Here is a 16,965-nt window from a genome sequence, read left to right as displayed (position 1 = left end):
ACAGTGGCCTGATATCAGCTCACTGCAACCTCTTCCTCCCAGGTTCAAGTGATTCTCCCAGCCTCCCAGGTAGCTGGGATTACAGGCGCCCATCACCACGCCCAGCTAACTTTTGTATTTTTAGTAGAGACGGAGTTTCACCACGTTGGCCAGGCTGTTCTCGAACTCCTGACCTCAAGTGATCCTCAGCCTCCCAAAGTGCTGGGATTACAGGCATAGGCCACTGTGCCCAGCCAATCACCTTTTTTTTTAATGGCTGAATAATATTTCATTGTGTCCATATACCATGTTTCCCCCTCCCCTCCCCTCCCCTCCCCTCCCCTTGCCTCCCCTCCCCTCGCCTCCCCTCCCCTCGCTTCCCCTCCCCTCCCCTTCCCTTCTTTCTGTTTATATTTTGAGATAGGGGTCTCAAACACCTAATCTCAAACTCCTGACCTCAAGTGATCTTTCTGCTTCAATGTTCTGAGTAGCTGGGGTTACAGGCACAAGTCACCACACCCAGCTAATACGACACTATATTTTCTTTATCCATTCATCTGTTGTAGGACAGATGGTTTCCATTTCTTGACTAATGAAAATAATGCTGCACTGAACATAGGAGTACCAATATCCCTTTGAGATACTGATTTTATGTCTTTTGATATATACTCAGAAATGAAATTGTTGGATCATATGGCAGTTCTATTTTTAATTTTTTGAGGAGCCTCCATATTGTTTTATATAATGGCAGTGCCAATTTACATACTCAATGATGTACAAGGGTTTGTCCACATCCTCACAAAAATGATCTTTTTTTCTAACAGCTGTCCTAACAGATGTGATGTGATAGCTCACTGTGGTTTCAATTTGCATTTCCCTAAAACATAGCGGTGTTAAGCATGTTTTCATACACACTTTGCCAATTTTAATGTACTCCATGGAAAAATATCTGTTTAGTCAGGTCCATGGCCCAATTTTAAATCAGATTATAATTATGTTTTCTTTTTGCTATTATATTGCATGAATTTGTTTTTTTAATTATTATTATACTTTAGGTTCTAGAATACATGTGCAGAATGGGCAGGTTTGTTAACATAGGTATAAACATGCCATGGTGATTTGCTACACCCATTAACCTGTCATCCACATTACGTATTTCTCCTAATGCTATCCCTCCCCTAACCCCCAACCCCCCAACAAGCCCCAGTGTGTGATGTTCCACTCCTTGTGTCCATGTGTTCTCATTGTTCAATTCCCACCTATGAGTGAGAACATGTAGTGTTTGGTTTTCTGTCCTTGTGATAGTTTGCTCAGAATGATGGTTTACAGCTGCATCCATGTCCCTACAAAGGACATGAACTCATCCTTCTTTATGGCTGCATAGTATTCCATGGTGTATATGTGCCATATTTTCTTTATCCAGTCTATCATTGATGGGCATTTGGGTTAGTTCCAAGTCTTTTTTTTTTTTTTTTTTGAGACGGAGTCTCATTCTGTCACCCAGGCTGGAGTGCAGTGGTGCAATCTCAGTTCACTGCAAGCTCCGCCTCCCAGGTTCACGCCATTCTCCTGTCTCAGCCTCCTGAGTAGCTGGGACTACAGGCGCCCGCCACCACACCTGGCTAATTTTTTTGTATTTTTAGTAGAGACGGGGTTTCACCATGTTAGCCAGGATGGTCTTGATCTCCTGACCTCGTGATCCGGCTGCCTCGGCCTCCCAAAGTGCTGGGATTACAGGCATGAGCCACCGCGCCCGGCCTAGTTCCAAGTCTTTGCTATTGTCAACTGTGCGCAATAAACATACGTGTGCATGTGTCTTTATAGTAGAATGATTTCTAATCCTTTGGGTATATACCCAGTAATGGGACTGCTATGTCAAATGGTATATCTGGTTCTAGATCCTTGAGGAATCGCCACACTGTCTTTCACAATGGTTGAACTAATTTACACTCCCACCAATGGTGTAAAACCATTCCTATTTCTCTACATCCTCTCCAGCATCTGTTGTTTCCTGACTTTTTAATGATCACCATTCAAACTGGCGTGAGATGGTACTATCGTTGTGGTTTTGATTTGCATTTTTCCAATGACCAGTGATGATGAACTTTTGTTCTTATCATTGTTGGCCACATAAATGCCTTCTTTTGAGACATGTCTGTTCATATCCTTCACCCACTTTTTGATGGGGTTGTTTTTTTCTTGTAAATTTGTTTAAGTTCTTTGGAGATTCTGGATATTAGCCCTTTGCCAGATGGATAAACTGCAAAAATTTTCTCCCATTGTGTAGGTTGCCTGTTCACTCTGATGATAGGTTTTTTTTTTGCTGTGCAGAAGCTCTTTAGTTTAATTAGATCCCATTTGTCGATTTTGGCTTTTGTTGCCATTGCTTTTGGTGTTTTGGTCATGAAGTCTTTGCCCATGCCTATGTCCTAATGGTATTGCCTAAGTTTTCTTCTGGGGTTTTTATGGATTTAGGTCTTACGTTTAAGTCTTTAATCCATCTTTTTTTTTTTTTTTTTTTTTTTTTTTAGTATTTATTGATCATTCTTGGGTGTTTCTCGCGGAGAGGGATTTGGCAGGGTCATAGGACAATAGTGGAGGGAAGGTCAGCAGATAAACAAGTGAACAAGGGTCTCTGGTTTTCCTAGGCAGAGGACCCTGTGGTCTTCCGCAGTGTTTGTGTCCCTGGGTACTTGAGATTAGGGAGTGGTGATGACTCTTAACGAGCATGCTGCCTTCAAGCATCTGTTTAACAAAGCACATCTTGCACTGCCCTTAATCCATTTAACCCTGAGTGGACACAGCACATGTTTCAGAGAGCACGGGGTTGGGGGTAAGGTTATAGATTAACAGCATCCCAAGGCAGAAGAATTTTTCTTAGTACAGAACAAAATGGAGTCTCCTATGTCTACTTCTTTCTACACAGACACAGCAACAATCTGATTTTTCTATCTTTTCCCCACATTTCCCTCTTTTCTATTCGACAAAACCGCCATCATCATCATGGCCTATTCTCAATGAGCTGTTGGGTACACCTCCCAGACAGGGTGGCGGCTGGGCAGAAGGGCTCTTCACTTCCCAGACGGGGCGGCTGCTGGGCGGAGGGGCTCCTCACTTCTCAGATGGGGCGGCTGCTGGGCAGAGGCGCTCCTCACATCCCAGATGGGGCGGCGGGGCAGAGGCGCTCCCCACATCTCAGACGATGGGCGGCCGGGCAGAGACCCTCCTCACTTCCTAGACAGGATGGCGGCCGGAAAGAGGCGTTCCTCACTTCCCAGACTGGGCAGCCAGGCAGAGGGGCTCCTCACATCCCAGACGATGGGCGTCCAGGCAGAGACGCTCCTCACTTCCCAGACGGGGTGGCGGCCGGGCCGAGGCTTTAATCTCGGCACTTTGGGAGGCCAAGGCAGGCGGCTGGGAGGTGGAGGTTGTAGCGAGCCGAGATCACGCCACTGCACTCCAGCCTGGGCAACATTGAGCAATGAGTGAACGAGACTCCGTCTGCAATCCCGGCACCTCGGGAGGCCGAGGCTGGCAGATCACTCATGGTTAGGAGCTGGAGACCAGCCCGGCCAACACAGCGAAACCCCGTCTCCACCAAAAAAATACAAAAACCAGTCAGGCGTGGCAGTGTGCGCCTGCAATCCCAGGCACTCAGCAGGCTGAGGCAGGAGAATCAGGCAGGGAGGTTGCAGTGAGCCGAGATGGCAGCAGTACAGTCCAGCTTCGGCTCGGCATCAGAGGGAGACCATGGAGAGAGAGGGAGAGGGAGACCGTGGGGAGAGGGAGAGGGAGAGGCTTTAATCCATCTTGAGTTAATTTTTGTATAAGGTGTAAGGAAGGGGTCCAGTTTCAGTTTTCTGCATATGGCTAGCCAGTTTTTCCAACACCATTTATTATCCTTTCCCCATTGCTTGTTTTTGTCAGGTTTGTCAAAGATCAAATGGTTGTAGATGTGTGGTGTTATTTCTTAGGACTCTGTTCTGTTCCATTGGTCTATATATCTTTTTTGGTACCAGTACCATGCTGTTTTGGTTGCTGTAGCCTTGTAGTATAGTTTGAAGTCAGGTAGCATGATGCCTCCAGCTTTGTTCTTTTTGCTTAGGATTGTCTTGGCTATATGGGCCAAGAAAAGTTTTTTTCTAATATGTGAAGAAAGTGAGTGCTAGCTGATGGGAATAGCATTGAATCTATAAATTACTTTGGACAGTATGGCCATTTTCATGATATTGATTCTTCCTATCCATGAGCATGGAATGTTTTTCCATTTGTTTGTGTCCTCTCTTATTTCCTTGAGTGGTGGGGTTTGTAGTTCTCCTTGAAGAGGTCCTTCACATCTCTTGCAAATATACAGTCATGTCATCTGCAAACAGAGACAATTGGACTGCCTCTCTTCCTATTTGAATACGCTTTATTTCCTTCTCTTGCCTGATTGCCCTGGCCAGAACTTCCAATACTATATTGAATAGGAGTGGTGAGAGAGGTCATCCTTGTCTTGTGCCAGTTTTCAAAGGGAATACTTCCAGCTTTTGCCCATTCAGTGTGATACTGGCTGTGGGTTTGTCATAAATAGCTCTTATTATTTTGAGATATGTTCCATCAATAGTTTATTGAGAGTTTTTATCATGAAGGGGTGTTGAATTTTATTGAAGGCCTTTTCTGCCTCTACTGAGATAAGCATGTGGTTTTTGTCATTGGTTCTGTTTATGTGATGGATTACCTTTATTGATTTGTGTATGTTGAACCAGCCTTGCATCCCAGGGATGAAGCCAACTTGATCATGGTGGATAAGCTTTTTGATGTGTTGCTGGATTCTGTTTGCCAGTATTTTATTGAGGATTATCACATCAATGTTCATCAGGGATATTGGTCTGAAATTTTCTTTCTTTTGTTCTGTCTCTGCCAGGTTTGGTATCAGGATGATGCTGGCCTCATAAAATGGGTTAGGGAGGAGTCTCTCTTTTTCTATTGTTTGGAATAGTTTCTGAAGGAATGGTACCAGCTCCTCTTTGTACCTTGGGTAGAATTCGGCTGTGAATCCATCTGTTCTGGGGCTTTTTTTGGTGTTAAGCTAATAATTACTGCCTCCATTTCAGAACTTGTTATTGGCCTATTCAAGGATTCGACTTCTTCCTGGTTTAGACTTGGGAGGGTTTACATGTCCAGGAACTCATCCATTTCTTCTAGATTTTCTAGTATATTAGTGTAGGGGTATTTATAGTATTGTCTGATGGAAGTTTGTATTTCTGTGGGATCAGTGGTGATAGCCTCCTTATCATTTTCTATTGTGTCTATTTGATTCTTCTTTCTTTTCTTCTTTATTAGTCTGGCTAGTGGTCTATCTACTTTGTCAGTCTTTTCAAAAAACCAGCTCCTGAATTCATTGATTTTTTTTAAGGATTTTTCATGTCTGTATCTCCTTTAGTTCTGCTCTGATCTTAGTTATTTCTTGTCTTCTGATAGTTTTTGAATTTGTTTGCTCTTGCTTCTCTAGTTCTTTTAATTGTGATATTAGGGTGTCAATTTTAGATCTTTCTCACTTCCTCATGTGGGCATTTAGTGCTATAAATTTCCCTTTACACACTGCTTTAAATATGTCCCAGAGATTCTGGTATGTTGTGTCTTCGTTCTCATTGGTTTCAAAGAACTTATTTATTTCTGCCTTAATTATGTTATTTACCTAGTAGTCATTCAAGAGCAGGTTGTTCAGTTTCCATGTAGTTGTGTGGTTTTGAGAGTTTCTTAATCCTGAGTTCTAATTTGCTTGCACTGTGGTCTGAGAGACTGTTATGATTTCCGTTCTTTTGCATTTGCTGAGGAGTGTTTTACTTCCAATTATGTCATCAGTTTTAGAATAAGTGTGATGAGGTGTTGAGAAGAATGTATATTTTGATTTGGGGTGAAGCGTTCTGTAGATGTCTATTAGGTCTTGTTGGTCCAGAGCTGAGTTCAAGTCCTGAATATCCTTGTTAATTTTCTGTCTCATTGATCTGTCTAATATGAACAATGTAGTGTTAAAGTCTGCCACTATTATTGTGTGGGAGACTAAGTCTTTCTGTAGGTCTCTAAGAACTTGCTCTATGAATCTGGATGCTCCTGTATTAGGTGCATATATATTTAGGATAGTTAGCTCTTCTTGTTGCATTGGTCCTTTTACCATTATGTCATGTCCTTCGTGGTCTTTTTTGCTCTTTTTTTGGTTTAACGTCTGTTTTGTCAGAGACTAGGATTGCAACCCCTGCTTTGTTTTGCTTTCCATTTGCTTGGCAAATATTCCTCCATCCCTTTATTTTGAGCCTATGTGTGTCTTTGCATGTCAGATGTGTCTCCTGAATACAGAACACTGATGGGTCTTGACTCTTTATCCAATTTGCCAGTCTGTGTCTTTTAACTGGGGCATTTATCCCATTACATTTAAGGTTAATATTGTTATGTGTGAATTTGATCCCGTCATCATGATGCTAGCTGGTTACTTTGCATGTTAGTTGATGCAGTTTCTTCATAGTGTCAATGGTCTTTAGAATTTAGTATGTTTTTGTAGTGGCTGGTACTGGTTGTTCCTTTCCATATTTAGTGCTTCCTTCAGGAGCTCTTGTAAGGCAGGCCTGGTGGTGACAAAATCTCTCAGCGTTTGCTTGTCTGTAAAGGATTTTATTTCTCCTTTGCTTATGAAGCTTAGTTTGGCTGGATATGAAATTCTGGGTTGAAAATTATTTTCTTTAAGAATGTTGAATATTGGTCCCCACTCTTTTCTGGCTTGTAGGGTTTCTGCAGAGGGATCCACTCTTAGTCTAATGGGTTCCCTTTCTGGGTAACTTGACCTTTCTCTCTGGCTGCCCTTAATATTTTTTCCTTCATTCAACCTTGGTGAATCTGACGATTATGTGTCTTGGGGTTGCTCTCCTTGAGGAGTATCTTTGTGGTGTTCTCTGTATTTCCTGAATTTGAATGTTGGCCTGCCTTGCTAGGTTGGGGAAGTTCTCCTGGATAATATCCTGCAGAGTGTTTTCCAACTTGGTTCCATTCTCCCCGTCACTTTCAGGTACACCAATCAAACGTAGGTTTGGTCTTTTTACAAGTTCCATATTTCTTGTAGGCTTTGTTCATTCCTTTTCATTCTTTTTTCTCTAATCTTGTCTTCATGCTTTATTTCATTAAGTTGATCTTCAATCTCTGATATCCTTTCTTCCGCTTGATCAGCTATTGATACTTGTGTATGCTTCACTAAGTTCTTGTGCTGTGCTTTTCAGCTCCATCAGGTCATTTATGTTCTTCTCTAAACTGGTTATTCTAGTTAGCAATTCCTCTAACCTTTTTTCAAGATTATTAGCTTCCTTGCATTGGGTTAGAACATGCTCCTTTAGCTCAGAGGAGTTTGTTTTTACCCACCTTCTGAGGCCTACTTCTGTCAATTCATCAAACTCATTCTCCATCCAGTTTTGTTCCCTTGCTGGTGAGGAGTTGGGATCCTTTGGAGGAGAAGAGGCATTCTGGTTTTTGGAATTTTCAGCCTTTTGGCATTGGTTTTTCCTTATCTTCGTGGTCTTATCTACCTATGGTCTTTGATGTTGGTAACCTTCGGATGGGGTTTCTGTGTGCACATCCTTTTTGTTGGTATTGATGCTACTCCTTCCTATCTGTTACTTTTCCTTCAAAAAGTCAGGCTCCTCTGCTGCAGGAGTTTCCTGGAGGTCCACTCCAGACCCTGTTTGCCTGGGTATCACCAGCAGAGGCTGCAGAACAGCAAAGATTGCTGCCTGTACCTTCCTCTGGAAGCTTTGTCCCTGAGGGGCACTTGCCAGATGCCAGCCAGAGCTCTCCTGTATGAGGTGTCTCTCGACCCCTGCTGGGAGGTGTTTCCCAGTCAGGAGGCATGGCAGCGAGAATTTTAAGCCAGTGGATCTTAGCTTGCTGGGCTCTTTGGGGGTGGGGTCCACTGAACTAGACCACTTGGCTCCCTGGCTTTAGCCCTCTTTCCAGGGGAGTAAACGGTTCTGTCTCACTGGCATTCCAGGTGCCACTGGGGTATGAAACAAAAACTCCTGCAGCTAGCTTCGTGTCTGCCCAAACGGCCGCCCAGTTTTTTGCTTGAAACCCAGGGCGCTGGTAGTGTAGGCACCTGAGGGAATCTCCTGGTTTGTGGGTTGTGAAGACCATGGGAAAAGCGTGGTATCTGAGCCAGAGTGCACTGTCCCTCATGGCACAGTCCATCACTGCTTCCTTTGGCTAGAGGAGGGAGTTCCCCAACCCCTTGTACTTCCCAGGTGAGATGACTCCCCACCCTGCTTCAGCTCACCCTCCGTGGGCTACTCTCAGTGTCTAACCAGTCCAAATGAGATGAGCCAGGTACCTCCGTTGGAAATGCAGAAATCACCTGCCTTCTGCATTGAACTTGCTGGGTGCTGCAGACTGGAGCTGTTCGTATTCAGCCATCTTGCCAGCCACCTGCATGAATTTCTTATATATTTTGAATATAAACTCCTTATCAGTCATATGGTTTACAAATATTTTTTCCTGTTCCATAGGTTTCCTTTATATGTTGTAGATTATTTTCTTTGCTATGCAGAAGTATTTAGTTTTCTGTAATCCATTTTTAACTTTTTCACCTCTGCTGCCTGTGCATATGATGTCAAATCCAAAAATTTATTGCTACGATGTGTGTCATAGTTTTCCCCTTTGTTTCTTCTAAGAGTTTTATGGTTCCAGTATTTATGTTTAAATCTTTAATCCATTTTGAGTTGATTTTTGTGCATGAAGTAAGATAAGGATCCAATTTCAATTTTTTGCATGTGAATATCCAGTTTCCCCACGTCATTCTTTGGACAGACTATCTTTTCCCCATTGTGTGTTCTTGGCACCTTTATCAAAAATCAGTTGACTATATATGTGTGGGTTTATTCTGGGGCTAATTTTGTTCTATTGGTCTATATGTCTGTTTTTATACTGGTATCATATTATTTTGATTTCTATTCCTTTGTAATATAATTTAAAATCAAGAAGTGTGCTGCCTCCAGCATTGTGGTTCTTGCTCAAGATTTCTTTGGCTATTCAGGATATTTTGTGGTTCTGTATAAATTTTAGGATTATTTTCTCTATTTCTATAAAAAATATCACTGGAATTTTGATTGTGATTGCACTGAATCTGTAGATCACTTTGTGTAGTGTGGATATTTTTGGAATATTAATTCTTCTGCTCCATGAACAAATAATATCTTTCCATATATTTATGTCTTCTTCATTTTTTAATCAGTGTTTTATAATTTTTAGTGTACAGATCTTTCACCTCATTGGTTAAATTTATTTCTAAGTTTTCTTTTTTTATGCTGTTGTAAATAAGATTGTTTCTTAATATCTTTTTCAGCTAGCTCATTGTTAATGTGTAGAAATAAAACTGATTTTTGTATGTTGATTTTCTGTCTTGCAACTTTACTGAATTTCTGTAGCAGTTCTCATAGTTTTTCATAGAATCTTTAGAGATTTCTACATATAAGATCATGTCATCTGTAAACACATACAGTTTTATATCTTTTCTGATTTGGATGCCCTTTCTTTTTCTGGCCTAATGGCTCTGACTAGAACTTACAATATTGTGTTGAATGGAAGTGGTGAGCGGGGGCATCCTTGTTTTTTTCTTGATCTTAGAGTAAAAGCTTTCAATTTTCCACGATTGAGTATGACATTAGCTGCAGACTTGTCACATATGGCCTTTATTTTGTTAAAATACATCTCTTCTATATCTAATTTGTTGGAAGTTCTTATCATGAAAAAATATTGAATTTTATCAGATAATTTTGTTGTATCTATTGAAATAATCGTATCTTTTTTTATTCATTTTGTTAATTTGGTGTATCACATTTGACTTGCATATGTTGAACCATTGTTGCATACCACAGATAAATACCACTTGATCATGGTGTATTATCATTTGAATGTGCTGTGGAATTAAGGTTTTTGTATTTTCTTGAGGGTTTATGCATTTTTGTCCATCGGGATATTGGCCTATAATTTTATTTTTCAGTAATGTCCCTGTCAGCTTTGGTATCAGGATAATGTTTGCCTCATAAAATGAGTTTAAAAATATTATTTCCTCTTCAACTTTTGGAAGACTTTAAGAAGGATTTCCATTAATTTTTCTTTAAAATTTTAGTAGAATTCACCAGTGAAAGCATTTGGTCCTGGACTTTTATTTGTTGGAAGACTTGATTGCTGATTAAATCTTCCTATTATTGTTCAGTTCAGATTTTTCTATTTCTTAAGTCTTAGTAGGTTGTATGTTTCTAGGAATTCATCCATTTCTTCTAGTTTATCCAATTTGTTGGAATGTAATTATTCATAGTAGTCTCTTATGATCCTTTCTTTGTGTGATATCAGTTGTTTCCTCTTTTCTTTCTAATTGCATTTGAGTATGCTCTATTTTTTTTTGTTAGTCTAGCTAAAGGTTTGTCAATTTTGTTTACCGTTCTAACAAACCAACCCAGTTTCACTGATTATTTTTCTATTGTTTTTCTAGTCTATGTTTTATTTATTTCTACTCTGATTTTAATTATCCTTTATTTTATTCTTCCTTTTTAAACTTTGGGCTTCGTTTAGTTTTATTCTGTTTCCTTATGTTCAACATCTTTCTTTTATCCTTCTTTAAAAATTTTTTTTTTGAGAGACAGGGACTTGCTGTCCTCTTTCCCAGGCTGGAATGCAATGGCATGATCATGGCTCGTAGCAGCCTTGAAACCCTGGGCTCAAGTGATGCTCCCACCTCAGCCTCTCCAGTAGCTAGGACTACAAGTACATGCTACCACACCTGTCTAATTTATTTTTTGTAGAGGTGGAGTCTCACTATGTTGCCCAGGCTGATCTCAAACTCCTGGCCTCAAGCAATCTTCCCATCTTGGCCTTCCACAGCACTGAGATTACATGTGTGAGCCACCAGGCCAGCACATCTTCCTTTTTTCTTAATGTAGGTCCTTGTTGCTATAAACTTTCTTCTTAGAATGCCTTTTTCTGTATCCCATAAGTTTTGGTCTGTTGTGTTTCCATTTTCATTTGTCTCAAGATTTTTTTTAATTTTCCTTTTGAGTTCTTCTTTGACTCATTTGTTGTTCAGGATGTGTTGTTTAATTTCCACATATTGTGAATTTTTAAATTTCTTCATGTTGTTGATTTCTTGTTTTGTACCATTGTGGTCAGAAAAGATACATGATATAAATCCAATCTTCTTAAATTTGTAAAGACTTGTTTTGTGGCCTAGCATGTGATCCTTTCTGGAAAATGTTCCATGTGCAATTGAGGAAAATATTCTACCATGTTGAGTGGAATATTCTGTTTATGTCTGTTAGGTATATTTGTCTATAGTGTTCAAGTCCAATGTTACTGATTTTCTGTCTGGACAACTGATCCATGGTTGAAAGTGGAGTATTACTTTTCTCTACTATTTTTTTGTGGTCTAACTCTCTCTGTAGAGCTGTTCATATGTGTTTTATATATTAAGGTGTTCCAATGCTATGTGCCTATATATTTACAATTGATATATCCTCTTGATAAATTGACTCATTTATCATTATATAATGACTGTTTCTTTTACAGTTTTTGACTTAAAGTCTATTTTGTATGATATAGGTATAGCTACCCCTGCTCTTTTCTAGTTTCTATTTGCATGGAAAGTCTTTCTTTCATTTATTTCCTTTCAATCTATGTGTGTCTTTAAAGCTGAAGTCAGTCTTTTGTAGGCAGCATATAGATGGGTTGTGTGTGTGTGTGTGTGTGTGTGTGTGTGCGCTCGCGCGCATGTAATCTATTCGGCCACTCTATGTCTTTTGAATAGAGAATGTAGTCCATTTACATTTAACATAATTATTGAGAGGTAAGAACTTATTATTGCCATTTTGTTAATTGTTTTCTGACTGTTTGGTAGGTTCTTTGTTTCTTTCTTCCTCGTCTGTTATCTTTGTGATTTATTTATTTTATGTAGTGGTATGCTTTGATTTCTTTCTCTTTATCTTTTGTGTATCTAATATAGGTACTTTTTTGTGGTTACTGTTAGGCTTACATAAAATATCTGATAGTTACAATAGGCTATTTTAATCTAATAACAACTTTGATCACTATAAAAGCTCTGCCCAATTTTATGTTTTTAATTTATAACTTCTTATATTATGAACCCATTAATAAATTATTATAGATATAGTTTTTAATGCCTTGACTTTTTATCTTTGTACTAGAGTTATAAGTGATTTACACACCATTATTACAGCACTGGAGTATTCTGAATTTGACTACCTAATTATCTTTCCAAGCAAGTTTTATATTTTCATATGTTTTTACATTACTAATTAGCATTATTTCATTTCAGGTTGAAGAACTCTCTTTAGCATTTCGTTTAAGGCAGGTCTAATGATGACGAGCTCCCTCAACTTTTGTTTCTCTGAGGAAATTTTTATCTATCCTTCATTTATGAAGAATAGCTTTGCCAGGTAAACTATTATTGTTTGGCAGGGGTTCTTTCCAGCACTCTGAATATATCATTCCATGTTCTCCTGGCCTGCAAGGTTTCTGCTGATGGCCTCATAGAAATTTTCTTGGTTTGGTGAGCCTCTTTTCTCTTGTTGCTTTCAAATTTCTCTCTTTTGTCTTTGCTTTTGATAGTTTGATTAAAATATGTGCCAATGAAGTCTTTGGGGACCACCATTGAGCTTCATGTGCTTGGATTTCCATATCTCTTCCCAAACTTGGAAAATTTTCAGCCATTATTTCTTTAAATAGTTTCCTGTCCTTTTCCCTCTCTGTCTTCTCCTTCTAAAGATTCCGTAATGCAAATGTTAGCTGTTTTGATGGGGTCTCAAAAATCTCATAGGCTTTCTTCATTCCCTTTTATTCTTTTTCACTTTTTCTTTTATGCCTTGATAATTTAAAATGACATGTCTTCAAGTTCTGATTCTTTGGCTTGATTGAGTCTGCTATTGAAACTTTCTATTACGTTCTCTATTTCAGTCACTGTATTCTTCAGCTTCAAAATTTCTGTTTGGTTCTCTCTTTTTCTGTTTTCTATCTCTTTTTTGAATATCTCATTTTGTTCTCATATTGTTTTCCTGATTTCATTACATCATTTATCTATGTTCTCTTGTAACCTGCTGAGCTTCTTTAGAACAATTATTTGTTACTTGGTTGGTGTCTTGTTTCCCTGGTTCCTTGTGATCCTTGTTTGTGCAGGTTTGATATATAGGTAAACAGGCAGGTATCTGTGCCTTGGAAGACCTTTTCCAGATTTAATTGACTGGCTGTGGTAAGAAAAGATGTTTATCAGTGGGGTGAGGGGGCCCTGGAGCATACTGTGTCACCAGATATCAAATGTGGGAGCATAAAGTAGCTTTGGGTCTTGTGTGGGGGTGGTGTAGAGTCTTATCAGCTCAGAAAGCTGTCCATGACGTCAGCAGCAGAAAACCCTTATTGATAAGAACTGCAGGGGATCTACAGTGAGTAAAAAAGCTGTTAGGGTCCTCAGCAGTGCCTCTGGCTTCAGTAGCAAGGGACAAGGGCTAACAGTGGTGGACACCGGGGCTTGAAGTTTACACATGTGTGGCTGCAGGGACCAGCTGTACATGCCAGTGTGGCTGCAGGGGTTGGGCCTGCCAGTATGCATGAGCTCGACTGCAAGGAATAGCTGAAGATATGTGCCTGGTGGTGAGGGAGTTGGGGCTAGCTGGTGCATGTACACTGCTGTGGGGACCAGAGCTGATGGCTAGCTGCAGGTGACTGAATAGTAGTGAAAGCTGGCAGTGGGGTCAGTGTCAGCTATGTAAACACACATGCCTGCAGGATCACCCGTGGGCATACATACAACATTGCATGTCATGGCTTGATGCAGGAACCCAAGCCATCTGCAAGCATGTGCATGCAGTGGCCATGCTATGTGTGGGGATGGGGCACCCATGGTGGAAAGAAAGCTCTGGGAAGGGGAGAAAAAGGTGGCAGCTCAGACAGCTGGAGTCTGCAAAGACAAAAATCTGTAGATCTCAAAGGCAAAAGCTTTTGGCATCCCCTGTGGAGCAGACTGCTTGGATCCACAATGTTGAACACCAGGGGGTCCTCGGTGGAGCTGGCTGGTGGCGGCGGTGGGGGGATGCTGTGAAACACCACAAGAGCTGCTGTTGAGGTCCTCAGTGGTGAGAGTTGAGGATCAAGCCATGGGGGCGGTCTCAATAGCATCCACCATATGGCTGACAGTGATAGCCTCCAGCCTTCTTTGTTTTTTAGTTGAATATATGTCATGTTAAGTTTTTAGTCCTCTCCAGATGTCTCAGCTATGTTGGTGTCCCCAGAGATCTGGGTGAGGTGAAACCAAAGCAGATCCTTAGAGCAATGCCCCCAAAAGACTGGGGAAGTTGGTCATTCATTCCGCTCTTCTTTTCCCTGTAAGGACAACTTGTGCACTGGGTAGTTCCCTCTTAGCACTGAGGAGTGACAGCCTCAGGAGATGAGATGGTGCAGGCAAAATGAAACTGTTGTTCCTATGCCTTTTGTGCAATTATTCTGGGTGGTTTTTTTTTTTTTTTTTTTTGGCTTTGCTGTGTTGCTGCAGCTTTTCAAATTGATGCCTGAGCTCTCTAGAGCTATTTTCACTTGTGGATAGCTGTCTAATTATTATTTTTTTTGTGGGAGGATGAAGGCTGGCATCTCCTACTCTGATATCTTGCTGATGTTTCTCCCTGAACTCTAACCTTTAAAAGGAGATGATACCTTGTTTTAAAAAGTGCTAGGAGTTTTAAATCAAATGGTTACTTTCTGGAACTTTTCCATTCAAAGCACTAAGAAAATGGGATACTGTAATTTTAGTTGAATATATATCATGTTAAGTAATAAGAGACAGGAGTTCGGTGTCCTTACCTACTGCTTCAGTTGACTGATTTGCCAAAAGCCATTTTGATTCAGTATCACTGGGAAAAATTAAGAAAACATTAATATGCCCTGCACAGACTAACATATTCAAGACTTGCTATTTTCAGTCAGACAAAGATCATTAGGAAATAAATTTGCGTTCATCAGAGCCAAATATGCTTAATAACTACTTCATTAAAATCTGCTAATGCTGGAACTCTTTTTGAGAAATTGGATTTATAACAAGAAGCCATAAATAGCAACGAGATGACTCCACCCCCGAAGAAATGGCCCTTATTTTGCCTAGTTTAAAAACAGTTTGTTTAGTGGTAAGAAAAGCCTTAGTTCTTGGCTTCTGTCTCTTGCACAGTTTCCAACATGATAACAGGAGAGGGAGGCAACTAAGAGTACATGATAGGAAAACGTGCTAGCTTCCCATTGACTGGGGGCAAAACTTCCCAAGAACAAGATGAAGACTGACCTGATTCAACTCAAAACAACAGAAGCAGCACTAAGATGGTAAATAAAGAGCTTTTTTTTTTTTTTTTTTTTTTTTTTTTTAGATGAAGACTCGCTCTTGTTGCCTAGGCTGGAGTGCAATGGTGCGGTCTCGGCTCACTGCAACCTCTGCCTCCCAGGTTCAAGTGATTCTCCTGCCTCAGTCTCCTGAGTAGCTGGGATTACAGGATTACCTGCCAGCGAGCCTGGCTAATTTTTGTATTTTTAGTAGAGACGAGGTTTCACCATGTTGGCCAGGCTGGTCTCGAACTCCTGACCTCAGGTGATCCGCCCACCTCAGCCTCCCAAAGTGTTGGGATTACAGGCATGAGCCACCTGGCAAATGAAGAGTTTTATGTGGACAGCACAACCCCAGCTGCTTCAGGACTGACAACCAAAGTAACAGGCATGGGGAACCTCACAGACAACACAAAGCTCATCTCTTTTATATTTATAAGGCAACATTTCCTCTATCCATTCTTCAGTACCTTTTCCTTATCTTCCTCCTGGGTCTGCATCTTAGCTCTAACCAAGTGGTTGTCAACTCAGTGTGAGTGTCGGAATTACCTGTGTAGATATTCAAATATCACACATGATCTATTCATGTGGTAGGGCCACCATAATAATACCAGAGACTGGATGGCTTAAACAACAGAAATTTATTTTCTCACAGTTCTGGAGGCTAGAAATCCAGGATTAAAGTTTCAACAGATTTTGTTTCTTCTGACGCTTCTTTCCTTGGCTTGTAGGTGGCCACCTTGCTCTGCCCTCACATGGTCATCCCACTGGGCATGTGCACCCCTGGTGTCTCTCTGTGTGTCCATATTTCCTCTTCTGACAAGGACAATAGTCAGACTGGATTCAGGCACACCCTAACAGCCTCGTTTTAACTTAATCACTTCTTTAAAGACCCCCATGTTCACATACAGTCACATTCTGAGGTACTAGAGTTGAGAGCTTCAACATGGGAATTTTGGGAGGACACAATACACAGTTCAGCCCATTACTTTCCCCAAGTCCCAGTCACAGAGACTCTGATTCAGTAGGTCTGGGGAAGTACCTTGGGATCTCTACTTTAAAACTACCACAGGGAGCCTCAAATACACAGGATTATATTCCAGTGTATTGTATTTTGACTTCTATGTATAATCCTTGAAGTCAAAGACTGCCTTGTACATGTATGTAATCTCATTCATTTTTATGGTACCTATCAAAGATGTTTAGGAAACAGTCTATTTTGTTTTAGTTATTACTCTGTTCTCTCTGGGTTTTTCCTACTTTATCTATCTATCTATCTATCTATCTATCTATCTATCTATCTATCTATCTATCTTTGAGACAGAGTCCCGCTCTGTTGCCCAGGCTGGAGTGCAGTGGCATGATCGCAGCTCACTACAACCTCCATCTCCCAGGTTCAAGTGATTCTCCTGCCTCAGTCTCCCGAGTAGCTCGGATTACAGGTGTGCCATCACACCTGGCTAAGTTTTGTATTTTTAGTAGAGACGGGTTTTGCCATGGCCAGGCTGGTCTCAAACTCCTGACCTCAGGTGATCTGCCCACCTCGGCTTCCCAAAGTGCTGGAATTACAGGCAAGAGTCACCACACCTGGCCTATTTATTC

General features: G+C 40.7%; 1 annotated feature.

The window, feature by feature from the left end:
* Positions 15,126-15,326: a silencer, noted in NCBI's record as "peak6057 fragment used in MPRA reporter construct". NCBI's record gives its function as "represses an SCP1 promoter by STARR-seq MPRAs in K562 erythroleukemia cells {active_cell/tissue: K562}" and the evidence as "EXISTENCE:reporter gene assay evidence [ECO:0000049][PMID:32103011]".

This window comes from Homo sapiens, chromosome 6 (genome assembly GCF_000001405.40).
Source record: "Homo sapiens chromosome 6, GRCh38.p14 Primary Assembly".
Taxonomy (NCBI): Eukaryota; Metazoa; Chordata; class Mammalia; order Primates; family Hominidae; genus Homo; species Homo sapiens.
The sequence above is the reverse complement of the archived record's forward strand: the minus strand, read 5'-3'. Positions and strand labels throughout refer to the sequence as shown.